General features: G+C 59.4%; 2 protein-coding genes across 3 annotated transcripts, besides 6 other annotated features; both read left to right on the top strand.

Annotated features, from left to right (window-relative positions):
- On the top strand, positions 6,312 to 22,945 carry HR (HR lysine demethylase and nuclear receptor corepressor). 2 transcript variants are annotated; one of them, NM_005144.5, is made up of 19 exons: positions 6,354 to 6,936; positions 8,154 to 8,805; positions 9,535 to 10,327; positions 11,632 to 11,782; positions 11,860 to 12,053; positions 13,551 to 13,715; positions 14,485 to 14,574; positions 14,756 to 14,871; positions 15,670 to 15,751; positions 16,136 to 16,299; positions 16,406 to 16,648; positions 16,857 to 17,022; positions 17,191 to 17,260; positions 17,474 to 17,604; positions 18,081 to 18,200; positions 18,299 to 18,414; positions 20,325 to 20,489; positions 20,936 to 21,064; positions 21,602 to 22,945. In NM_005144.5, exons 2-19 carry the CDS (start codon positions 8,194 to 8,196, stop codon positions 21,662 to 21,664), a joined length of 3,570 nt encoding a protein of 1,189 aa, NP_005135.2. In that variant the 5' UTR covers positions 6,354 to 6,936; positions 8,154 to 8,193; the 3' UTR covers positions 21,665 to 22,945. The 2 variants fall into 2 exon arrangements, with proteins under 2 accessions (NP_060881.2, NP_005135.2); NM_018411.4 differs by lacking the exon at positions 20,325 to 20,489 and having other exon boundaries at positions 6,312 to 6,936.
- HRURF (HR upstream open reading frame) lies at positions 6,354 to 6,906 on the top strand. The gene has a single exon (NM_001394132.1). The coding sequence runs from the start codon at positions 6,656 to 6,658 to the stop codon at positions 6,758 to 6,760; it is 105 nt and encodes a 34-aa protein (NP_001381061.1). The 5' UTR covers positions 6,354 to 6,655; the 3' UTR covers positions 6,761 to 6,906.
- Positions 7,175 to 7,752: an enhancer, noted in NCBI's record as "H3K4me1 hESC enhancer chr8:21987125-21987702 (GRCh37/hg19 assembly coordinates)". NCBI's record gives its function as "activates a minimal SCP1, AML or CMV promoter by ChIP-STARR-seq in primed H9 embryonic stem cells {active_cell/tissue: H9 hESC(primed)}" and the evidence as "EXISTENCE:reporter gene assay evidence [ECO:0000049][PMID:30033119]".
- Positions 11,985 to 12,484: an enhancer, noted in NCBI's record as "H3K4me1 hESC enhancer chr8:21982393-21982892 (GRCh37/hg19 assembly coordinates)". NCBI's record gives its function as "activates a minimal SCP1, AML or CMV promoter by ChIP-STARR-seq in naive H9 embryonic stem cells {active_cell/tissue: H9 hESC(naive)}" and the evidence as "EXISTENCE:reporter gene assay evidence [ECO:0000049][PMID:30033119]".
- Positions 12,485 to 12,986: an enhancer, noted in NCBI's record as "H3K4me1 hESC enhancer chr8:21981891-21982392 (GRCh37/hg19 assembly coordinates)". NCBI's record gives its function as "activates a minimal SCP1, AML or CMV promoter by ChIP-STARR-seq in naive H9 embryonic stem cells {active_cell/tissue: H9 hESC(naive)}" and the evidence as "EXISTENCE:reporter gene assay evidence [ECO:0000049][PMID:30033119]".
- Positions 15,963 to 16,462: an enhancer, noted in NCBI's record as "H3K4me1 hESC enhancer chr8:21978415-21978914 (GRCh37/hg19 assembly coordinates)". NCBI's record gives its function as "activates a minimal SCP1, AML or CMV promoter by ChIP-STARR-seq in primed H9 embryonic stem cells {active_cell/tissue: H9 hESC(primed)}" and the evidence as "EXISTENCE:reporter gene assay evidence [ECO:0000049][PMID:30033119]".
- Positions 16,801 to 17,003: a silencer, noted in NCBI's record as "fragment chr8:21977874-21978076 (GRCh37/hg19 assembly coordinates)". NCBI's record gives its function as "represses an EF-1alpha promoter that drives an FKBP-Casp9 reporter gene in an ReSE screen in phorbol 12-myristate 13-acetate-treated (for megakaryocytic differentiation) K562 erythroleukemia cells {active_cell/tissue: K562(+PMA)}" and the evidence as "EXISTENCE:reporter gene assay evidence [ECO:0000049][PMID:32094911]".
- Positions 21,684 to 22,346: an enhancer, noted in NCBI's record as "H3K4me1 hESC enhancer chr8:21972531-21973193 (GRCh37/hg19 assembly coordinates)". NCBI's record gives its function as "activates a minimal SCP1, AML or CMV promoter by ChIP-STARR-seq in primed H9 embryonic stem cells {active_cell/tissue: H9 hESC(primed)}" and the evidence as "EXISTENCE:reporter gene assay evidence [ECO:0000049][PMID:30033119]".

Below are 24,275 nucleotides of genomic sequence, written 5' to 3'. Positions count from 1 at the left end.
AGGCTGTTTGCCTGGCTGGCTCCACTCCAACTCCTCCGATCCCTGGGGCAACCGGGGTACCCAGCTCTGCCCTCTACTGCCCCGGTGCTGGTCTCACCATGATGCCCGGGGTGCGCCCCTCTGCCACTGCTGCACCTGCTCCTCCTCCCTGCTTTTGATTGATTAAGCAAAGAGGTGGGTGAGAGTGTGGGATGAGAAGAGGGGAAATGGGGTGGTAACCTGGAGTGGCCCCAGAGAGTGTGGATTAACTCTTGGTGTGGGGATTATCCAGGTTTTATTTGGGGGAGGCTCTTAATCTGCTGCGGTGATTTAGCTTCTCACGTATAGGGGCTCACTGGCGTCCAACATGGCCTGCCTTTGCATCGTGGGGTTGTCTTATCGCTTCATTAATTCATTCAAAAATGAATCTTTATTGAGCCTCGAGCAGGTACCAGACATGTTGCCAGACACTGCAGGGATGCAGGCAGTAGTAACGGCTGGCGCCCAGAGTGTGGCTGCCCACGCAGACGCTGCTCTAAGCCCCTGGCATATATTAATTTAATTCTCATAACGATCTTTGGGGGGTGGGTACACACTAGTCTTACAGTCTCCATTTTCCAAACAGGAAAACAGGCACAGAGAGGGCAAGTGATTTGCCCAAGGTCACATAGCTAGTACATAGCAGAAGGGCTTGGAATCAGGCAGTCTGGCTCCAGAGTCTGTGCACTTAATCACTAAGCAGTACCAGAGTGAAGGAGATGATTCCTGCCTGGGAGGCAAGGACATGGAGACTAACATGTATGGAATATTTGTTGTGTGCCTGACCTTGTGCTGGGCATTTTACAGAGATGATTTCCTTGAATCCTCCCAACAAGCCTGTCAAATAGGGACTATATCCATTTTTTAAAACAGGTTCTCACTGAATCACCCATGCTAGAATACAGTGGAATGATCATAGTACACTGCAGCCTCGAACTCCCGGACTTAAGGGATCCTCCCACCTCAGCCTCCTGAGTAGCTTGGACTGCGGGCACTCTCCATCACACCTGGCTAATTACCATATTTTTTTGGTAAAGACGGGGTCTCACTATGTTGCCCAAGCTGTTCTTGAATTCTGGGGCTCAAGTGATCCATCTGCCTTGAACTCTGAAAGTGCTGGGATTACAGGCATGAGCCACTGCACCCACAGGGCTATACCCATTTTACAGATGAAAAACCGAGGCTTGGAGAGCCACAACAACTTGTGTACCATTGTGCTGCTTGTGAGTCGGGGACCCTGACTCCTGATGCACCTCTGCCTGGGAGTTGCGTTGATAGAGGCGGGCTGGCAGGATCCATGTACCCAAACCAAGAGAACAAAACCAGAGGGGCGCCGGGCACAGTGGCTCACCCTTGTAATCCCAGCACTTTGGGAGGCTGAGGCGGATGGATCACCTGAGGTCAGGAGTTCGAGACCAGCTGGCCAACATGGTGAAAACCTGTCTCTACTAAAAAAAACAAAAATTAGCCGGGCATGGTGGCGCGTGCCTGTAATCCAAGCTACTTGGGAGGCTGAGGCACAAGAATCGCTTGAGCCCGGGAGGCAGATGTTGCAGTGAGCCGAGATTGCACCACTGCACTCTAGCCTGGGTGACATAGCAAGACTCCATCTCCAGAAAAAAAAAAAAAATAACAAACCCAGAAGGGCATATGATGAATGGCAAAACAAAACGGAGTAAAAGAAAACAAGAGTTGGGGAGAGGCCTGAAGTCGTGGGGTGGTGAGGGAGATTTCACTGGGGTGGGGGCTTCACTTGCCCTCCCTCCTAGGATGGGTGCTTGGAGGGGGCCACACGGCCACCCAGGCCCCTTGGCAGAGCTTGCGATGCCTTGTCCTCACCATCTCATCAGACTGTCTCATGGCTCCGTGTGGCCCTATGCGTGCTGGCCTCTGACATGCTCTTCCTCCACCATCCAACTCTGTCCCATTTCTACTTGCCCTTTGAACCCCACTGAGACATCACCTCCACTGGAAGCCCTCCGCAAGCACTCCCTCACCTCGGAGTGGTTTGCTGTCTGGACCACACCACCTCTGTTCTTGCACAGACTTCTGTTGTTGCCTTGAGCATGTGACCTTTTCTCCCCCACTGTGTTGTGACTTCATAAAGGACAGACGTATTTTACACACTGTTGTAGCTCAGCCTGGAACAAATGGTCTAACCGAAGTGAAATACTTTTGTAACTTCGCGACTGGGTGGTGAAGTCCTGATCTCATTCTCTGATCTCCTCCATGAAGTTCCCCTGACTTCCCCAGGGTGGGACTAGAAGCATCTTGTAATCATTCATGAACAAGCCCAACACCCCCAGCGCCCAGCACAGGGCCAATACCTAAGAAGCCTGGAGGAGTTTTGCTGGTGAAAGAACAAATGCGTGAAGTGACCATATGTTCTGGGTGGGGGAGGCCGGGCGGGTGGGATGGCCTCGTGATTTCTGCCTTTGTGCCCTGCATCGCCTGGGGCCCACCGCCAAGCCTTGAACATGCCAAGGCCCCTAGAACACGGGTTTGGTGAACGGCTGACTGCAGTTGTATGAATTCCAACACATGCTGGGGACAGAGGGGAAGGAGCCAGGAGAAGTCCAAATTCTGGGGCATTTCTGGGTGAGCACACATGGGACCCGGAGGCTCAGGGCACTGGTTGTCAACTGGGCTTCCCTGAGAGCCAGCCCTGCCTCTCTGAGAACCCCTGAGACCTCACCTTTGCCCAGCAGTTGCACACTTTGCCTCCAGTTGCACACTGGAGGGGGTTACTGTCTCACCCTCCACCCCCTCTGGCCTGGCCTCTCTTGGAAGAGGAGGCTGCATGCCAGCCTGCCTAAGCACCCCCAACCCTCTTCTCGCCACCAGACAGTGGGCCACGAGCAGGATCAGGGCTGGTGGGGACACAAAGCTGCCACAGCCAGTCCCCTTAGAGCTGCACACCTCTGCTGGGTCCTGGCCCCTGCCCCACTTGGTTTGTGCCCTGGTCTCACTCCTCACCTCCCCTGCAGCTTGTCTGCTTTTGAGGGGTTCCTGCATATCCACCCTGGTTTCTGGGTGCGGATCGCCCTCTGTTCTTGCCCCTCTCTTCTCTCTGCTCTCCACCCACAGCCATCCCTTGGCCCTTCCAGGTGGCTCCTCTCCCTCCCTGACTCTTCAGCCCCCATCACTGTCCCTCTAGGCCTGGGGCCCTCCGTGTCCTGGTCCCCTTCCCCGTCTCCAGCCTCCATGTGCGCCGCACGCACTGGCTGTATTTTTAGCTGTCACTGATTAGCCTCTAGTTCTGACACAGCCCTGGCCCAGGCTGGGTTGGGGCATCCTGGTTGGCACTGCCCTCCACCTTGAGGGGGTTAAGGAGGTGGCACTCAGCCTCTGGCTCCATCCTCTACCCAGCATCAGGGACCAGAGGTCTCAAGAGCTGGGTAGGGGGCAGACGCCTGGGCAGGAGGAGGATTCTCTGCTGCTGGAGAAGTCCTGGGGGCCACAGTTGGTGTTTCCGGGTAGGCACAAAGGTCTCAAGCCCAGGGCAGAGTGGAGCTGGCTTCCTCTCCCCGGTGGGTAGCTTGTGGGGGTAACCTGGAGGGGAGGGGAGGTGGGGGGAGGAGGAAGCGCACTGGGAGGTGCAGACTGAGAAGAGGAATTAGGTTAGGGATGTAGGTGGGTGGGCGGGAGGGGATGGCGGCATCTGCTTTGGAGCTTCCTCCGGGTTCCAAACGCATCCCCACACTTCCCTTCCCCTCCTCCCCACACCCTGCCCCCACCCCCGCGGGTCCCGGGAGAATTCGCCTGGTATTCCCCCTTCCCCATCCCCCACCAGGCGTTGCCACAGGGTGGGGGGTGGGGTGGGGGGAGGCCAGCCTCAGCTGTCTGAAGGATGGAGGGGCTGGGGAAGCAGGGCTAGGTGCCCAGACGGCCGCGTGTGTGGGAGGGGATGTCCTCAGATGCCCTCCACCCGGCAGTCCCCGCTCTGACGTGGGTGCCCCCCCTCTCCCCGCCCGGATTAGTGGCAGCTTGGCCTGACTCTCCGGGGCTCCTTCCCCCGCCCCCGCCTGCTGCCCTCCCCTGGGCCGGGGGCTGCTCCGCCCGGGGGGCACTGTGCTTGCCCAGGTAAGGGGCTCTGGGGATGGCATGAGGGCCGCCGGCTCGTGAGTGCTGCTGTGCCCGTCAGCACGAGCGTGTGTCAGCGAGTGAGTGTGTGTCAGTGAGCCAGGGGTCGGTGCGGGGCTGGGGCTTGGCCCCTGAATGGCTGGGGGTGCTGGTCAGCTTGCCTTTGTCCACAAGTCTGGCATTGTGTCCACGCGCCGTGTGGCTTTTCTTCTGTGTTTGTGTCTTTTGTGTGTCTCCTCAGCTCTGCTCCGTCTTCAGGCACAGAACAGCCGGCTACAAGGACTCTGTGGGCCTGTGGCATGGGCTCCAAAGCGGGATGGGGAGCTGGGCGAGGGTGGGGAAGGGGTCCTTCCTCCCATCCCGCGAGTCCCCACGAGCCCCTGGGCTTTTCAGGAGCCTGTCCCCAAGAGCCCTGCTACTCTAGTCCAGGGACCGTGGCCTGACAAAGCAGACATGGCAACTGGGGTTGGGGGGGATATCTGCCCCACTCCCCTGGGATAGTCCCCATCCCCTTTGGGGATGTCAGCGATAGGTCCTCAGGGTTCTGGACAGCGCAGGCTCCCATCTTGGCCTCTCCGAGGCCCCAAGCCGCAGGAATCTCCCCCTGGCACTCCCACAAGCTTCGGCTGCTGAGGAGGGAGCACAGAGAACACAGATGGGGGACCACAGACACACCCCAGCCCTTACCTTCACCCCTGGAGCCAGCCTGGGAGTGGGAGGCCGGGCCTCAGGGCCTGGGGCCTCCAGTCCATGTTAGACCCTCTACAAGCATCTCCCCTGGCACACTCAGGTCCCAGCCACCCTCAGGGGAGCTGGGGAGGAAGGGAGTGTTACTAACTCAGTCATGTAAACAACCCCTACCAGCCTGCCTTGCCACAGAACTGGCCTCTGGGGGCAGGCCAGGGGCAGGGTGAATGGATGCCAACATGGCCCAAGTCCGGCCCAGTGCCCGCTCCTTTAGACCCCCGCTCCCCAGGACCCCCACTCTTCTCAACCGGTAGAAGGCTCTAGGCCTTGCTCATCCCTTAGGAGGAAGGCTCCTGGCTATTCAGGGCTCCCCTCTGCAGGGATGGTGGTGTGACTTGGGACCAAGCTAGAGGCATCCAGAACCCATCGCTTGCAAGGGATGGGAAAGAGGGAGTGCAGCTTCTGTCCCAGGCAGGCCAAGGTTGGCTTCCGCAGGGAGGCAGGGGAGCCGAGGGTGGGAGGTGGGTGCCTGAGGGGAAGGGAAGCGCCCGTTGGGCGTGTGGGTTTCTGTGTGAGTCTGAATCTGTCTGTGTGTGTTTGAATCTGTCTGTTTGTGTCTGCACTGGAACCACCCCCGCAGCGGAGCCGGGATGCTTCCTCGGGTGGAGGGTGCCCTGCTTTTCCATTTCCTCTCCTCCTCTCTGCACTCTCCCGGGAGCCACTCCCATGGGCGCCTCTCCAGCCCCTGGCCTGGAAGCACCAGGAACCCTGGGGATGGGGCAGACCCTCACAGCCCGGGGTCTGGAGCCGGTGTCGGAGCTCATCTGGGCCCATGACCTCTCCAGACATTTGGCAAAATCAAGGCCCTTAGACCAGGGACAGACCCAAGCCCAGGCCCTCCCAGAGGTCCTAGGACGCAACCCTTTGTGCCCTTGGGCTCTGGAAGAGGTTTGGGAAGGGTTTGGGGTGGAAGATGGCAAAGAGCAGCTTGGCCAGGTGAGGATGAGGCAGGGCAGACACAGGCCAGTGGGGCGTGCCATGTGCCACAGATGGAGAGGACCAGGAGCCAGTGGCCCGGCAGGCACAGCCCGGTTGGCGTGGGCCAGAGCGCCCATCACTGACCCGTGAGAACTCGACTGCCCCTGCCAGCTCTGGCACTGCCCCCTCCCAGCCGCCCCGCCCTAGCACCCTGGGGGGCACCCCGCCCAACCGTGGCCTGGTCCGGCCCCTCCCGCCCTTTGCTCCAGTTCCCGGGCTTGGCACCTATAGTGGGGGTGCCGCCCGCCTGCCAGGCTCCGGGGCCGGGCCCACGGGAGGGTGGGGCGGCTGGGAAGCTGGCACGCTGCCCCGGGGGAGCCTCTCTCGGCAGGCGCCCGGGTGCCGCGGGGGGGAGGGGGAACAAAGGGCTCATTCTCCCCGTGCGCAGCCGGTGGCATCGCCGGGGCGTTGGCGGAAGCCCCCGGGGCCCGGGAGGGGGCAGGCCCAGGCGCGGCCGCCGAATCACGGGCTCCTGTTTCCCGCAGGGTGCTGGAGGAGGAAACCGGCGGAGCAGCTTCCCCACTCTCAGTTGCGCTTCTGGCGATGGCGATCAGAGGTCCTGCTGCGCTCTCCGCCGCGCTCTACCTCCATTAGCCGCGCTGCGCGGTGCTGCGCCCTCGCCGGTGCCTCTCTCCTGGGTCCCAGGATCGGCCCCCACCATCCAGGCACGACCCCCTTCCCCGGCCCCTCGGCCTTTCCCCCAACTCGGCCATCTCCGACCCGGGGCGCGTGTTCCCCCCGGCCCGGCGCCTTCTCTCCCTCCGGGGGCACCCGCTCCCTAGCCCCGGCCCGGCCCTCCCCGCGGCGCAGCACGGAGTCTCGGCGTCCCATGGCGCAACCTACGGCCTCGGCCCAGAAGCTGGTGCGGCCGATCCGCGCCGTGTGCCGCATCCTGCAGATCCCGGAGTCCGACCCCTCCAACCTGCGGCCCTAGAGCGCCCCCGCCGCCCCGGGGGAAGGAGAGCGCGAGCGCGCTGAGCAGACAGAGCGGGAGAACGCGTCCTCGCCCGCCGGCCGGGAGGCCCCGGAGCTGGCCCATGGGGAGCAGGCGCCCGGTGCCGGCCACGACGACCGCCACCGCCCGCGCCGCGACCGGCCGGTGAAGCCCAGGTAAGCGCCAGGAGCGCGCCGTCTGGGGACACTCGTGGCGGGGGATTTCTGAGCCGAGCCTGCGGTGCCCGTACGGAGCGTGTTCCCCGTGCCCCTGTGGGCTGGGCCACACATTCTGACACCTGAAAGTTAGGAAGCCCGACGCGGCCAGACCACGGCGGAGCGGTGGCTCCAGAAAACCTGGGCGCCCTCTGCCACTGCGCCGTCACCTCCCGCCTGGGGCTTCGTCGCTCTGGCCGAAGGGACCGCGCCAAGGCAGCGCTGCCGCTCTAGTGCCACCTGTCATCCTGGTCCCTTGCACGCACGTTCAATTTTCCCTCCCTTGCCTCTCTCTGGGGCCCAGCCCGCTTTCCCCGCCTCCTTCCCTCTCCCCTCCCCGCCAGGCTGAAGTTTCCAGCGGCGGTGGCGGCTGCCCTGGCACTGCTGGCTGGGCTAGGGCAGCTTGACCCATCCAGCTGAGGCTTCTTAATCCCCCTCCCCTGTGCCGGCGCGCTCTTCCCGCTGGGGGCCAGGGCGGGGTTCCTAGCCCCCTGCAGTTGTCCTGGGACTCTGCTTGAGAAGCCGAGAAACTGCAGGGCTCTGGGAAGAGGCTGACTCAGGGCCGCCCAGGTGTAGAGAGAGACACAGCCAGCGGCCCTGGCTGGCAGCGTTCCCCAGCGACTCCAGCCTGCCAGGCCTGCACTTCCCACGGCTACAAGCCTGGCTGGGGCTGTAGGCTAGGGTTGGGCTAGCAGCACCCCCAAAACCACGGATTGCAGGATGGGAAGAATCCTCTGAGCCGACCCAAGCCTCAAGGGCACACTGAGGCCCAGAGGAGTGACATGATTTGCCCAAGGCCATACAGCATAGGACAGAGTCAGGCTCAGGATCCAGCCTTTTTCTTCATTCAGTGCCTTCCACTTTCTGTCCTCCCTCATGGGTCGTGAGCAGATTCCTAGCTTGGTGAGGCCAGGACATGCCCTACTAGCAATGGCAGCCTCCGCTGAGGGGCACTGGCCCAGGTGGAATTTGGGGAAGGGGTAACATCCCCACACTGGAGGAGCAAGATGTGTCTGGCTGCATGTGGAGAGGCAGCATGGTGCCCAGTTGTGGGCTGGCACTTGCCTTACTGGTTTGAGCTGCCTCAGTGTTGCCAGGGCGGTGCCCACTCTGTGCCAGGCTGTAAGGTGCTTGGGACATGTGCCCCAGAAGCTCATGCTTTGATGGTTATGCTCCAGGGACCCCCCTCTGGGAGAGCCCCATGAGGGCAGGAGAGTGATGGAGAGTACGCCCAGCTTCCTGAAGGGCACCCCAACCTGGGAGAAGACGGCCCCAGAGAACGGCATCGTGAGACAGGAGCCCGGCAGCCCGCCTCGAGATGGACTGCACCATGGGCCGCTGTGCCTGGGAGAGCCTGCTCCCTTTTGGAGGGGCGTCCTGAGCACCCCAGACTCCTGGCTTCCCCCTGGCTTCCCCCAGGGCCCCAAGGACATGCTCCCACTTGTGGAGGGCGAGGGCCCCCAGAATGGGGAGAGGAAGGTCAACTGGCTGGGCAGCAAAGAGGGACTGCGCTGGAAGGAGGCCATGCTTACCCATCCGCTGGCATTCTGCGGGCCAGCGTGCCCACCTCGCTGTGGCCCCCTGATGCCTGAGCATAGTGGTGGCCATCTCAAGAGTGACCCTGTGGCCTTCCGGCCCTGGCACTGCCCTTTCCTTCTGGAGACCAAGATCCTGGAGCGAGCTCCCTTCTGGGTGCCCACCTGCTTGCCACCCTACCTAGTGTCTGGCCTGCCCCCAGAGCATCCATGTGACTGGCCCCTGACCCCGCACCCCTGGGTATACTCCGGGGGCCAGCCCAAAGTGCCCTCTGCCTTCAGCTTAGGCAGCAAGGTGAGTGCAGGGGCAGAGAGGGTACCTGTGGCTCTGGCCTAGCAAAGTTGCTCGGTGGTCCCCAAGATGCCCTTCCACTGTGATGAAAAGAGAAGGCAGCACCGAGGTAGAGGGGTCTATCAGCTTGGAGCTGTCCCAGGCCCCACAGTCAACCCCAAGCAAGCCCTACCCTGAGCAGCTCCATCTCTCTAGGCCTCCCCTGCCCTCGGGTCATTGCAGCCACTGACTCACCCATTGTCTGCCTAGGATAAGGTCCTGGGAACTGTGGCCTTGGAATGTGTGGCTTGTCCTGGGAGGAGATGGGTGGGCAGACAAGGGCCCTCTATCTGAGACTGGGATGTGCAGGGGACCCCATGGCCCATGTCTAGGGTACCTCCTCCATAGATGACTCCCACTCCCAGGGATGAGATGTTAAAACACTTAAAACTCAGTATGGCACAGGACACCAAATGGCCCAAACAGACCCCAGATGCCCTTTGGCTGTGCCAGGCATTCACTCTTTAGTTCTTAGACTTCCTTGTGGGGACGTCTGAGAAATCCTGGGGGAGGAGGTGGGGGTTGCCAGGACAGTGTCAGAGGCACTCCAGAGACCTAGGGCAGTGCTGTTTATTAATCAGAATGTGAGGGCTTCAGTATTCTCCCCTTCCTTCTTGCTTGTCAGTTCTGCCCATCCATTTAGGCATGGGGAGCCCAAGTCAGCTGAAGCGTAACACTTTCTCCCCTCTTTAGGGCTTTTACTACAAGGATCCGAGCATTCCCAGGTTGGCAAAGGAGCCCTTGGCAGCTGCGGAACCTGGGTTGTTTGGCTTAAACTCTGGTGGGCACCTGCAGAGAGCCGGGGAGGCCGAACGCCCTTCACTGCACCAGAGGGATGGAGAGATGGGAGCTGGCCGGCAGCAGAATCCTTGCCCGCTCTTCCTGGGGCAGCCAGACACTGTGCCCTGGACCTCCTGGCCCGCTTGTCCCCCAGGCCTTGTTCATACTCTTGGCAACGTCTGGGCTGGGCCAGGCGATGGGAACCTTGGGTACCAGCTGGGGCCACCAGCAACACCAAGGTGCCCCTCTCCTGAGCCGCCTGTCACCCAGCGGGGCTGCTGTTCATCCTACCCACCCACTAAAGGTGGGGGTCTTGGCCCTTGTGGGAAGTGCCAGGAGGGCCTGGAGGGGGGTGCCAGTGGAGCCAGCGAACCCAGCGAGGAAGTGAACAAGGCCTCTGGCCCCAGGGCCTGTCCCCCCAGCCACCACACCAAGCTGAAGAAGACATGGCTCACACGGCACTCGGAGCAGTTTGAATGTCCACGCGGCTGCCCTGAGGTCGAGGAGAGGCCGGTTGCTCGGCTCCGGGCCCTCAAAAGGGCAGGCAGCCCCGAGGTCCAGGGAGCAATGGGCAGTCCAGCCCCCAAGCGGCCACCGGACCCTTTTCCAGGCACTGCAGAACAGGGGGCTGGGGGTTGGCAGGAGGTGCGGGACACATCGATAGGGAACAAGGATGTGGACTCGGGACAGCATGATGAGCAGAAAGGTAAGGGGGCCAGGAGGGGCTGCAGGCCCTGCGTGGGAGGGGGCAGCCGGGGCTGGGGCTTCGCATGGGGCGGGGTCTGTAGGCTTTATGAGTGGACCACAACCAGTGGTCAGGCTCCCACCTGGATCACGAGGGCTCTCTGGGAGTTCCTCAGCATCTCCAGGCCAGAGCCTTCCAGCAAGTATCTTCTACCTCTGTCTCCTCCCAAGCCCTGGTGTGTTGGTGGCAGTATAATGACATAGTTCAGAGCATGGCTCTGGAGCCAGAGTGCCTCGTCCCTGACTTTGCTGATTGGTAGCTGTGTGACCTCGGATGAGTTGCTTCGCCTCTCTGGGCCTCAGTTACTTCATCTATAAAATGGGGAAGAAGACGGCACCTACCTCAGGAAGACTGCTGCAAAAGTTAAATGCTAGAATGATTCATAGCAAGGGCTTGGAAGAATTCCTGGCACCCAGTGAACACTCAGTAAATGTTCACCGTGATGACTGCGTGTGCCACAAATCCCTGTTTGGGGATTGCTTGTCCTGAAGGATCCCTTGTCCTGCGCCAGGAATGGCTGCTCTCTTGGCCAGGTGGAGCTGGAGACTCAGTTTGGACTCTGCCAGTGTTAGGGCTCTGGGCGCACCCTGGAGTCACTTGCTACACTGTGCCCTCCACGGAGGACCCTGGCACTGCCGGCTCCAGCCTTAGTTCTTTGGGATCACTTCGGTTTTTTCAGCTTCCTGGACGGCTGGGTGTGGATCAGCTCTCTCCGTGGCCTTGCCCAAATGCCCTGCACCTGGCATGGGCCTGTCTGTGCCCTCTGCCCAGGCCTCTGCCCTGGCTGGGAATTTGTTGGCCCCTTCGCCTTCTTGGGTTACTGCACCTGTGGCCTGTGTCGAAACTCTCTGGCCCTTCTCACCTTCCGGCGCCCTCCGTCCACGTTGGGATTGTCTCCTCATGTCACGCAGCCAGTGGTATCACTAAGCCCTCAGTGGAGCTATCCAAAGTCTACACTGGCTGGATCCTGCACTTGTGTCAGGACGATCGCCCCAGCTGCCCAAAGCCTTGGGCTCAACACACCAGACAACCTCTTCGCTCGGCTGCCGGTCCATGTCACGGCATCCTCAGACTCCCTGCTCAGCCTGGCGTGCGAGCCTTCCAGCTGCCTGGTCCACTCTTGCTGGTTCTGAATTAGGCTTCAGAGACCTGGGGCGAGGAACTGGGCTGGCTCTGAGTGTGGATGGGGTGGGCGCTAAGGTGAGGAATGGGGTTCTCAGCAGCCCAAGAAACCCAGATTCCTGACCTCTGCATTGTCCCCTCAGGACCCCAAGATGGCCAGGCCAGTCTCCAGGACCCGGGACTTCAGGACATACCATGCCTGGCTCTCCCTGCAAAACTGGCTCAATGCCAAAGTTGTGCCCAGGCAGCTGGAGAGGGAGGAGGGCACGCCTGCCACTCTCAGCAAGTGCGGAGGTGAGCCATTGCCCCTGGACACCTCCAGTGCCCCCTCGCCAGGGCTCCCTGCTCACCTCCCCCTGCCCTCTCTCCAGATCGCCTCTGGGAGGGGAGCTGCAGCAGGAGGAAGACACAGCCACCAACTCCAGCTCTGAGGAAGGCCCAGGGTCCGGCCCTGACAGCCGGCTCAGCACAGGCCTCGCCAAGCACCTGCTCAGTGGTTTGGGGGACCGACTGTGCCGCCTGCTGCGGAGGGAGCGGGAGGCCCTGGCTTGGGCCCAGCGGGAAGGTGAACAGGACCTCCTGGGTCTGCGTGGGGTCTCTGTGTGGGGAGCCCCAGGTGTCCCTCCCCTGACCCCACCCACACTGCCAGCTCCTAGACCTAAGGCAACCTCAGAAGAGCCCCTGGCCTGGGTGGGGACATCAGGAAGGTGTCAAACTGGGTACAGCCCAGTTCTCTGGGAGTTTTTGGGCTTGTTGGGAAAACAAGAATGAGTGCCAAGTATCTGCAAGGCACTGGGAGGTGGGGGAGCTCCTGAGGGCTTGGGGGTCAGGCGAAGCTCCCGGGCCTGGAGGGCTGACAGGACCTGGGCTAAGGTCCCCTCTGGCTGCAGGTGCTCCCTTCGGTCGCCCTTCCGCAGCACAGAGAGTTCCTCATGACCAAAGGCTGCTGGTCAGTCTTTGGGTGGAGACCCCCGGGGCTCCCTCTTGCCCCAGACAGGCCAGGCCCCTTGGTGCATCTTCAGCAGGCTCCCTGTCAGCTCCTGCCACTCCCAGCCTGGGTTCCCAGCACACACGCCATCCATCCTTCCCTTCCCGGCTCCCTGGAGCTTGTCATCCCCTCGGGCCTTGGCACTGGCTGTCCCTGTGTCTGGAATGCCCTGCTCCTCCCTTTCTACCTGGTGAATGAAAACTTACTCATCCTCTGGGGCCCACTTGGGAAGCTCTCCCGCATTCCCATCCTCACCCTTCCCTGGCATTTTCCATCTCCAGCACCCGCCTCGTGGTGCCACAGTCATCGCTGTATTTATGGGTCCATCTCCCTACCTGGAATGTGTGCACTGCGAGGCAGGGGCAAGTCCTAACCACCTCTGAGGCCCCTGCACCCAAAGGCAAGGCGTTCGTTGAATTGTACTCAGCGACACCTTTTCCACCTACCAACAATGGCTTAGTCTCATACTTGGTTCTTAGAAAACCCCACTCCTGGCTGGGCGCGGTGGCTCATGCCTGTAATCCCAGCACTTTGGGAGGCCGAGGTGGGAGGATCACTTGAGTCCAGGAGATGGAGGCTGCAGTGAGCTGTAATCACACCACTGTACTCCAGCCTAGATGACAGAGTGAGACCCTATCTCAAAACAACGACAACAAAGTCTCCTGGAGGAAATGGCACCTGAGCATGGTTACCACTTCTGGTAGCACCTAGGGCTTGGAGGGAAGGAGGTGGAGGAAAGAATGTGCTAGAAGTGGTGTGGATTAATAATTCAGGGCCAGTGGGGAAGTCCCTGGGGGCAGAGCTGGGTGTGGGGCAGGAATGGTGGAGCTGAGGCCTCCAATGTCCCTGGAAGGCTTTGCTGGAGAGGATAGTTTCTACAAGGAGGCTCTCGACAGGGCTGTGGAGTAAGCAGGGGGTAGCTGTCGAGGGGCCTGTCTCCCTTCCCTGGGGGGGCCCTCTCCATGGAAGCTGCTCCTTGCTTCTCCTGCCCCTCCTTGGATCCTTCCCACGTGAAGCCTTCCATTGGGGCCTGTTGCCTTCACCCTCTGACCCTGTTCTCTCCGTGGTCAGCAGGCCAAGGGCCAGCCGTGACAGAGGACAGCCCAGGCATTCCACGCTGCTGCAGCCGTTGCCACCATGGACTCTTCAACACCCACTGGCGATGTCCCCGCTGCAGCCACCGGCTGTGTGTGGCCTGTGGTCGTGTGGCAGGCACTGGGCGGGCCAGGGAGAAAGCAGGTAGGAGAGGGGCTGGGGGTGGGAGGGCGGGATGGAGCCCTCAGGGGGACTGCTGCAAGCCTGTGGTCATTCGTTGGCTGCCTCTCCCCAAAAAGCCCCCTACCCACTGCACAGCCCCAGCCTCAGCCACCATGGCTCAATGCCCTTAGAGCAGACTTCCCCTCTCTGCAGATCAGAGGACCATGCCTGCGTCCTTGACCACCCTTAAACAAAGGCGAGTGTGCCCACTCGGTGTCTCCCACTCTGTTCAGCTGGCACCTTTTAAAACCTGCTGTAACACTGTGAAGTGGGTATTACTGCTTTTGTTTTCCAGATAAGAAAAACTCAGAGGATAAGCGACTCGTCCAAGGTCACACAGTTAGTAACGTGTTGCAGCCAGGACTTAGACTCAGGTCTTCTGATTTCATCCTGTTCTTTTCATAGTTCTCAGCTTTCTTTCCCTTGGCTCAAGTTGGCCACGGGAGAGCTTGAAATTTCCCTGTGTTCCAGTAGGGATGACCAGAAAGAGCTCCAGGGTCAGACACGTTTTAGAACATTGTCTTCCACATGGTTAGCCTAAGGACCTGCAAAGCCTCTCAGCACGTTAAAGTCTGTAGCATTCTACAAGCAAAGAATGCTGTGTCTCTATGTGACCCAGGTTTCCCAGAAAGCACGAGTTTTGTGGACTATTGAGTCCCCTGGTTTAGGTATCATGTCCTGACCTTCTCTGACCTTAACCTGTGATTACCTTGATTTCTGGACCTGCAGCTTTTCCCTTCCTGCCCCACAGGCTTTCAGGAGCAGTCCGCGGAGGAGTGCACGCAGGAGGCCGGGCACGCTGCCTGTTCCCTGATGCTGACCCAGTTTGTCTCCAGCCAGGGTGAGCCATCTTGGAGGGGTGGGGCGTGCAGAGGTTGGGTCCTGAGGGAGACCAGCTTCCCGTCTGATTGTCCCTCCCCCCAGTGCCATGCCCTTCTGCTTGGCAAGGCCAAGCTGCCCGGGACTGCCTGTTGGTCTACACTCACCACCAACCTCCCTCTCCTGCCCACCCCCACCCCCAGCTTTGGCAGAGCTGAGCACTGCAATGCACCAGGTCTGGGTCAAGTTTGATATCCGGGGGCACTGCCCCTGCCAAGCTGATGCCCGGGTATGGGCCCCCGGGGATGCAGGCCAGCAGGTAAGACCCAGGGCATGTCACCGGTTGGGTATCGTGCCTGCAAATGGCTGACCTTTGCAGGGGTTTGGCCCCCCCTTTTCTTGGTGGGGATGAAGAGAGAGAAGCCTGTGGGATCAGGCTAATTCCCACCTTGGGGATCAGGAGCCATGCATGATCTCCAGCGCTGGCCCCTCCCACCTCCATGCCCTGGAGGTCCTCACCCCCTGCCTTCCTGGAGCATATCCACCCTACTCTGTGCATATTCTTGTTCAGCGCTTGCCACATCATGCTAGAGGTGCTTGTTGGTATGGCCAGGTCCCCAGGCCATGGTTCCTTCAGGTGGAGCGTTGGCCCGCCTTCTCAGTATCCCGGCACCTAACACCTAGCAGGCGCTCAATGTGCATTCTGCAAAGTTTTTTGAAGTTCATGTTCTTATTATAAAAGTCATCCATTCAAAATAAATAGTTCATTGAATGCATTTTGGGTTCCAGACACTGTGTTATATACCCATTGTGGAAAATTTGGAAAATACAGACAAGTATAAGGAAGAAAATGACGATGACCTTAATGCTACCATTAGTTTTGACATATTTATTTCCAGCCATTTGTCTATTTTAGTAGACTATAGACCCTATCATAGGTAGAAGTCCATGAGCAACTTTTTTCCACCTAATGTTATATCCTATGGCATTTTGCTCCTATAAACACGATTTTAGGACTGACAAGAGTCCATTGTTCATTCTTGTGGGTTCTGTTGAATTGTGTCTGCCATTTTAAAATCTCTGGTTGGATTGGGGGGGTGGTGGATGGGTTTAACAGAAGGAATCAACACAGAAAACGCCCCCAACTCCACAACCTTCCTGCAATGGCGACACCCACAGGACCAAGAGCATCAAAGAGGGTGAGCGGCTCCTCTTGCCCCTCGGCCTGTGCAAGAGGGAGGCTGGGCCAGAGTTTGAGGCAGGAGGGGACAGTCGCGGAAGTCTCCGGGGACTTTAGCAACTCCCCCCCACCCCCAATAATCTCCACTACTCCCCTCAGGACATGCCTCCAAACACCTTCTTTGGCCAGACCCCCCTCTGAACCCCTCTTTTTAGAGACTCTGGAGCTGCCTGCAGGAAAAGCAGTAGAGCGGGGAGACCCAGAGCAGAGCTGAGGTGGGGGATGCTGGCTGGGGAGAGTGGGCTCAGCCAGGAAGAGAGGGAAGAGCAGCATGGGCAAGAGGGCCTCGAGGGGAAGAGGAGGGACCAAACGCGAAGCCCCCCACCATCTTCCTCCCTGACAGAGACCCCCGATTCCGCTGAGACCCCAGCAGAGGACCGTGCTGGCCGAGGGCCCCTGCCTTGTCCTTCTCTCTGCGAACTGCTGGCTTCTACCGCGGTCAAACTCTGCTTGGGCCATGAGCGAATACACATGGCCTTCGCCCCCGTCACTCCGGCCCTGCCCAGTGTGAGTGAGGGCACGGAGGGAGGGCTAGGAGCCAGGGGACCAGAGGCTGGGCCTGCCCTCCCTGTGGGGCCCAGTGGGTCCTAAGCCCCTGTGCCCCTCTCTGCAGGATGACCGCATCACCAACATCCTGGACAGCATTATCGCACAGGTGGTGGAACGGAAGATCCAGGAGAAAGCCCTGGGGCCGGGGCTTCGAGCTGGCCCGGGTCTGCGCAAGGGCCTGGGCCTGCCCCTCTCTCCAGTGCGGCCCCGGCTGCCTCCCCCAGGGGCTTTGCTGTGGCTGCAGGAGCCCCAGCCTTGCCCTCGGCGTGGCTTCCACCTCTTCCAGGAGCACTGGAGGCAGGGCCAGGTGAGGCACCCCTCCCCTCCCCTCCCGGCCCTGGCCACCCCACCTGCCCCTCGGGGCCTTGGTCCCTAGGCCCAGACAGACCCAGTGGCTCAGGGGGAGCAGGAGGGCTGTCCCCGAGCTGTTCTACTGCCCTTACAACACGCCCTTGCCTGGCCATGGCGGGCACCCTGGCCATTCTCCTCATGGCCTCCTTCCTTTCCCACCACAGCCTGTGTTGGTGTCAGGGATCCAAAGGACATTGCAGGGCAACCTGTGGGGGACAGAAGCTCTTGGGGCACTTGGAGGCCAGGTGCAGGCGCTGAGCCCCCTCGGACCTCCCCAGCCCAGCAGCCTGGGCAGCACAACATTCTGGGAGGGCTTCTCCTGGCCTGAGCGTAAGTGTCCCCAACACAGGGGAGAGGGAGCTGGGAGCCCAAGCCCTAGGGATCGGGTGGCAGAGGAGTCCCAGGGTGACCCCGAGGGGCTGGAAGCAGGTGTTGCTGCCGCCGGGGCAGGGGCTTCAGGGCTGAGGAGGCCAATGGCCGTTCTGTCTCCTCCTGTAGTTCGCCCAAAGTCAGACGAGGGCTCTGTCCTCCTGCTGCACCGAGCTTTGGGGGATGAGGACACCAGCAGGTGTGTATGTCACCAAGGGCCAGCCCTACCTCCCCGCCACCGCAGGCCCCGCCTGGTTCAGCCCTCCCCTCCTCCTCTGCCCCCAACCCCCACCCCGTGGTCCCTGGTACTCTCATGTTTGCCCTCTGGGAGTTACCCCGGTGGTGGTGGGGCTTTGATGGGGTCTCTGGTGCCCAGGTTGGGCCTGCTGGGCATGACCCCCTACCCTGACAGGGTGGAGAACCTAGCTGCCAGTCTGCCACTTCCGGAGTACTGCGCCCTCCATGGAAAACTCAACCTGGCTTCCTACCTCCCACCGGGCCTTGCCCTGCGTCCACTGGAGCCCCAGCTCTGGGCAGCCTATGGTGAGTGTCCCTCCACTCCTGCCCAGTCTCTACTCCCATGCCTGTCTGCCTGTCATCTCGGGGCACACGAGCGTCTGTGCCAAGGCCCTGGGGCCTGAAGCGCTTCTCTGATTCCATTTCTTTCTTTCTTTTTTTTTTTTTTTGTTGTTGTTGAGACGGAGTTTTGCTCTTGTTGCCCAGGCTGGAGTGCAATGGCACTATCTCGGCTCACCGCAACCTCCGCCTCCCAGGTTCAAGCAATTCTCCTGCCTCAGCCTCCCGAGTAGCTGGGATTACAGGCATGCACCACCACGCCCGGCTAATTTTTTCTATTTTTAGTAGAGAGGGGGTTTCTCCATGTTGAGGCTGGTCTCAAACTCCTGACCTCAGGTGATCTGCCCGCCTGGGCCTCCCAAAGTGCCAGGATTACAGGCGTGAGCAACCGCGCCTGGCTCTCTGATTCCATTTCTAACTGTTCTTTCTCTATTGCCATGCAGGTGTGAGCCCGCACCGGGGACACCTGGGGACCAAGAACCTCTGTGTGGAGGTGGCCGACCTGGTCAGCATCCTGGTGCATGCCGACACACCACTGCCTGCCTGGCACCGGGCACAGAAAGGTAGGTCCTCGGCCAGAGGCAGGAGCGGGGACAAGCTACAGAGGTGAGTGTTTGTCGCCACCAGCCCTGGGCCTGCCTGAGCGCTCTTTCCTCCTCAGACTTCCTTTCAGGCCTGGACGGGGAGGGGCTCTGGTCTCCGGGCAGCCAGGTCAGCACTGTGTGGCACGTGTTCCGGGCACAGGACGCCCAGCGCATCCGCCGCTTTCTCCAGATGGTGAGGAGGCAGCCGGGAGCCCTCCCCTTCCCCCCGCCCAGCCCTAGAAGCTCGTCCAGTCCCACCCCAGTGTGCGGTCCCATGTGCTCGCTCCCTGCCCCACGCCCTCAGGTGAGCTGCACAGACCCAACTCGCACAGACAGGTGCAGAGAAGGCAGAGGGGACCCGGAGTTCTGCCGTGGGGCTCAGAGAAGGGGCAGGGGCTGCGGCAGGAGAGCCTGGACCCGATGATGAAATGAGAGCACCAGCTGCCCGAGGCTGGACGTGGTGCTAGGGCCTTAGGCACAATTATCTGTTACCCGTCTCAGCCCCCCGCCCCATGAGGCAGGCACTGCTCCTTTCCCATTGGCAGATGAGAACACCGAAGCTCAGTGGCAGGGCTGGGATCTGAGCTTCTGTCTGTCATGGCCCCAGGTCACTACTCTATGCTCTTCCTGGAGGCAGGCAGCCTCCTCTGCCTTCTGAGACTCCGTCCGGCTGCCCACCTTTTGGTATTTGCATCTTGTTAGGGGAGACTGCCTGGAGGAGATGCTCCCGGAGGGGCTAGCAAGGAAGGGGGCTGAGGGAAGTGGAGGGAGAGATGGGTCAGGTGAGGAGCCAGGGAAGGGGAAGGTGATGGGGTGGGCTGGAGGCAAGAAGCTTGAGGCGCAGGGGAGGAGAGAGTCCAGGGGTAAGGCGAGGGCAGCCCCGTGGTTCCCAAGTCCAGCTGAGCCCTCATTATCCTGGGGAAAAGACTTCCACCTAGTGTCACCCCTCGCCAAGGCACACACACACACGGAGACGTGCAGAGGCCAGCATGGTGTGCACCCCTCCTGCCCACAGGTACACACATGTGTAGATACACACACAGATGCTGGGACACGCAGAGGGGAGCAGACAAGCACACCTCCACACACAGATGGCCTCTTCTGGGCTGGGTGTGGCTGGCCGTGGGCAGTCACTACGGCCCAACCCAGTGACTCACGGGGCAGGGCTGAGGGGCACAGTCTCCCTGGGTGGCCTGGGAAACACTGCTCAGCTCCAGGATGGAGCTGAATCTCCAAGGGCAAAGGAATCTTGGCACCCAGCTGGGACTCCCCTAGGGTCCAATTTGCTTCACCAGCCTTCCCTTCCCCCACGCCCCATCTTGCAGCCCTAAGCCCAGGGGCAATGGCTGAGGTCCTTGCCAAAGGGGGTGGATTGGGCTGGTGGTGGGTTGGAGCACGATGCTGGCGTCCCCTTTGCACATGTTCCCTGGGCACCTCTGTCCTCTGCGAGTCCCTGCCTGCCCAGAGAGCTCCCTGCTCTGGTTAGGCTTGTGAGGTCCCCGTAGCTGTGGCTGCTGCAGAGGCCTCAGCCTGGCCGGAAAGCCTGTTCACCTGCTGGCACTCAGAGCCTCGCAGTGGTCCTTCCCTTTTCTGCATCCGGAATCTTAGGGAGACCCTGATGAACACTTTGAGTTGTCTCCCCAGGGACACACAGCTCTCTCCTCATCCACCACTTAGCACACAATTCTGGCCATTCCAAAGACTTCAGATGAAGAAGTCCTGGTAGACAGTTTATGAACTGGGATTATGCAGGACGTCTCCCTCGGATTTGCAGAAAGGGGTACCATTGAGAGAGGGAGGAGAGGGGCCGAGGTCACAGAGGCTGTTAAAGGCCTCCAGCCCCAGAAAAGCAGGGATTCAGTCTGCCCAACTGTAGGGCCTTGAATCCCTTCCTTCTAAGCTCCTTCCAGCCAAATGTGTGTTCTGCCAACCTGAGCTGCCCCAGCCCCAAACAAACTCAGCCATGCCCTCCCTGCCTGCCCTTCAAGACTTGACCCTTCGGCTCTTTTCTCCACCCCTGGCCTCTGGAAAGTCCATGCCCCATCCTCCTGCAGCCCTGCCCTTCCCTCCCCATCTCGCTCATTCCCCCTTCTCTTCTTTGAGGTGTGCCCGGCCGGGGCAGGCGCCCTGGAGCCTGGCGCCCCAGGCAGCTGCTACCTGGATGCAGGGCTGCGGCGGCGCCTGCGGGAGGAGTGGGGCGTGAGCTGCTGGACCCTGCTCCAGGCCCCCGGAGAGGCCGTGCTGGTGCCTGCAGGGGCTCCCCACCAGGTGCTTCCCAGCGGGCAGGGGCTCTGCGGGGAGATCAGGATGGCAGAAGCGACCCAATCAAGGCCGCAGGCATCCAACATCCCCTCAATACCCAAGAGCCGGGCAGGGCAGGGAGCCGCACGCTGCTGTGGGGAAGAGATAACGGGGGAGCCAAGAGGCCTTGAAGTCACTGAGCCCAACTGGGACTGGCGCCAGAGTCCACTCCTGGTCTCCTGGGCATGCTGATGTCAGGGGGCTCGCAGGGAGACTTTAGGGTCTCTCCAGCAGTTCTGAGTCCCGGTTTTGGCCACAGGCTTTGAGGTGTCCAGTGGTGCATCCAGGAATCTGCTCTCTGAGAGCCAGGGGTCGGGGGTGGTTGTCATTAGAGGAAGCGAACCTCAGGGACCAGGGGGACAGGGAGAGGATGTGTGATCTTGAGCCTCACTGTCCATGTCCCCCCGACACAGGTGCAGGGCCTGGTGAGCACAGTCAGCGTCACTCAGCACTTCCTCTCCCCTGAGACCTCTGCCCTCTCTGCTCAGCTCTGCCACCAGGGACCCAGCCTTCCCCCTGACTGCCACCTGCTTTATGCCCAGGTGAGTGGGATGTGGGCCAGCAGGCTGGGTGTGCTACCCAAGCCTCCCACCTCCCTGTGCCACAGCTGCAGTGGACATAGCAGATCCCACCCTGTGCCAAGCAGGCAGCCACCCTGTGCAGGGGCAGAGTATTCCTTTTGTTTAGTTTGTTTCATTTTGTTTTTTGAGATGGAGTCTTGTTCTGTCACCTAGGCTGGAGTGCAGTGGCACTATCTCAGCTCCCTGCAACCTCCGCCTCCTGGGTTCAAGTGATTCTCCTGCCTCAGCCTCCCAAGTAGCTGGGACTACAGGCGCCCACCACCATGCCTGGTTAAATTTTTTTGGGATTTTTAGTAGACGTGGGGTTTCACCATGTTGGCCAGACCGGTCTTGAACTCCTGACCTCAAATGATCCACCTACCTTGGCCTCCCAAAGTGCTGGGATTACAGGTGTGAGCCACCGCATCTGGCCAGAGTATTCCTTTTAAGTAGGGTGGGGGACAGCGGGTGGGCCCAGGAATGTAGTTGAAAATGCTTTGTCCTCTCTCTTTTTCCTAGATGGACTGGGCTGTGTTCCAAGCAGTGAAGGTGGCCGTGGGGACATTACAGGAGGCCAAATAGAGGGATGCTAGGTGTCTGGGATCGGGGTGGGGACAGGTAGACCAGGTGCTCAGCCCAGGCACAACTTCAGCAGGGGATGGCGCTAGGGGACTTGGGGATTTCTGGTCAACCCCACAAGCACCACTCTGGGCACAAGCAGGGCACTCTGTTCCCCTCCCCCTTAAGCCAACAACCACAGTGCCACCAAGCTCACACCTGTCCTTCTCAGGCTGGCATCTCCCCCACCCTGTGCCCCTTTTCATGGTACCAGGCCCGCACTGGGGGCAATTGACTTCCTCCAATCCCCACTCCTCCGAGACCCAGGAGACAAACAGCCCTTCCTTGGGGAAACTTGGGAATCATTCTGGCTTAAACAACACCTCCTCCTGCTGCTCACTCCCGCTGAGCCCACTCTACTGCCCCAGCTCCGTTTCTACCACCGCATCCTCACTGGGCTCACTGCAGGCATGCTGAACAAGGGGCCTCCAACCTTCTGCCCTCCTGCCAAAAGATCTGGGGAGTGTGAGGAGAGGGTGGCATCAGGAGCTGCTCAGGCTTGGCGGAGGGAGCGGCATGGGCGATGTCACTCAGCCCCTTCCCGGTCCGCCCGCTTCCCTCCTTCATGATTTCCATTAAAGTCTGTTGTTTTGTGACTGCTGCCAGTGTGGTTGGCCCTGCCCCTGCAGGCCACATGGTCCAGGGAGGGAGGGGGACATGGAAATCTGCCTTAGAGACAAATGGAGTAGGGCAGCCCGGAGCTGGGGCCCAAGGGACAGGACACCACTGCCTGCTCTTCGTCTGGGGCCTGGGGCCTTGCCTCCCACTGAGGAGACTTTGGGTGGGGTGGGGGGCTGTCCCCCAAAGATGCTCCTGAGTGCAAGAGCAGGCAAGGCAGAGTCCTGGGGCACAGCCACGAGGTGACCTCCCTGTGCAGAGACTCCCGAGCCCTACTCCACCCAGCAAGCTCCAGTCCGCCCCATCTCTCCCGTCTACCCTGACCTGGAGATCCAGAAGTATGGCCCAGAAGAGCCCTTGCCCCGCCTGTCTGCCCTTGGTGGCAGTGGCCATGGCCGACGCCAGGCCCAGCCACCCTGGGACTGAGCCTGACTGCTTCAGACAGCCGACCCCTCCTTGTCCCCGCTCCACGCCCGCAGCCTCCTGGTGGCGCTCCGCCCTCTCCCGCTTCCTTTGTGTATCTCAGCCCTACAAAGAAAAACACTCCCACTCTTGTCATACCTAATTGTTCCTGCTGTGGTTTGGGGAATTTTTTTTATTAAATAAAGTTTTTTATTATAAGGGTAATATACTTTCAGAACATTCAGAAAATAAGAAAGTCACCTTCTAGCCCATCATTACACACCTCCAACTACTATGAGTATTTTGGCATATTCCCTCCCAGTGCTTTCCCCAAGGATTTGCTGTGCACATAGCTGGATTGCTGTGTTTTGTCCTTGGTTTCTTTCTTTCGACACCATATCATAATCATTTTCTGTGTTGCTACCTAATCTTCATTTTAAATGACTGCTTATATTCCATTAAGTGGCTTTGCCATGATTTACAAAACTATGCTTTATTTAAAAAAAAAAATGTAGGGCTTCTTTCATTGTTTGGAGAACTCAGTTATTTTCATTTTTTTATGGGATAAAGAGGAGAAAAGAAAAGAAAAAACTGAGAACTCTACAGTTTACTTTGCTTTTGTTTTCATTTAATTTATCTCATCTGGCCAGGCGACGTGGTTCACGCCTGTAATCCTAGCACTTGGGGAGGCAGAGGCGGGTGGATCACTTGAGGTCAGGAGTTCAAGACCAGCCTGGCCAATATGGTGAAACCCTGTCTCTACTAAAATACCAAAAAAAAAAAAAAAAAAAAAAAAAAAAATTAGCTGGGCATGGTGGCAGGCGCCTGTAATCCCAGCTACACGGGAGGCTGAGGCAGAAGAATCGCTTGAACCTGGGAGGTGGAGATTGCAGTCAGCCGAAATCATGCCACTGCACTCCAGCCTGGGAGACAGAGCAAAACTCTGCCTCCAAAATAATAATAATAATAATAATAATAATAATAATAATAATAATTTATCTCATTTAATCCCTTTTATTAAAATGATCTCAGTTAATCCGTTATCAGGATTTTAAGACAGATAGGATTTATTTCCATTTTACAGAAGAAGAAACAGGCAAGCTACAATTAAGTAAATTACCCAAGGTCGCATAGCAATTTTAGTGGAAGAACTGGGATTTGAACCAAGTTTTCTGAGTCAAGACACCTTGTGTACATTATAGTCTTAACTCTTAGTGGAATTTAAAGACAGGCTTGCCCTCCTCTCTGTCCTTCTTCTTCCAATGTACGTGCTTTATAGCTGATCATGTTCCAAGTGGCCCCGAATGACCCATTCCTACCTACGTTTCATCTTTTGTTTGAGACAGGGTCTCACTCTGTCACCCAGGCTGGAATGCAGTGATGCAATCTCAGCTCACTGCAACCTCTGCCTCCCGGACTCACGCCATCCTCCCACCTCAGCCTCCTGAGTAGCTGGGACTACAGGTGCATGCCACCATGCCTAATTTTGGTAGTTTTTGTAGAGACAGGGTCTTGCCACACTGCCCAGGCTGGTCTCGAACTCCTGGGCTCAAGC

Source organism: Homo sapiens, chromosome 8 (genome assembly GCF_000001405.40).
Source record: "Homo sapiens chromosome 8, GRCh38.p14 Primary Assembly".
Taxonomy (NCBI): domain Eukaryota; kingdom Metazoa; phylum Chordata; class Mammalia; order Primates; family Hominidae; genus Homo; species Homo sapiens.
This window is presented reverse-complemented; position numbering and strand designations above follow the sequence as displayed.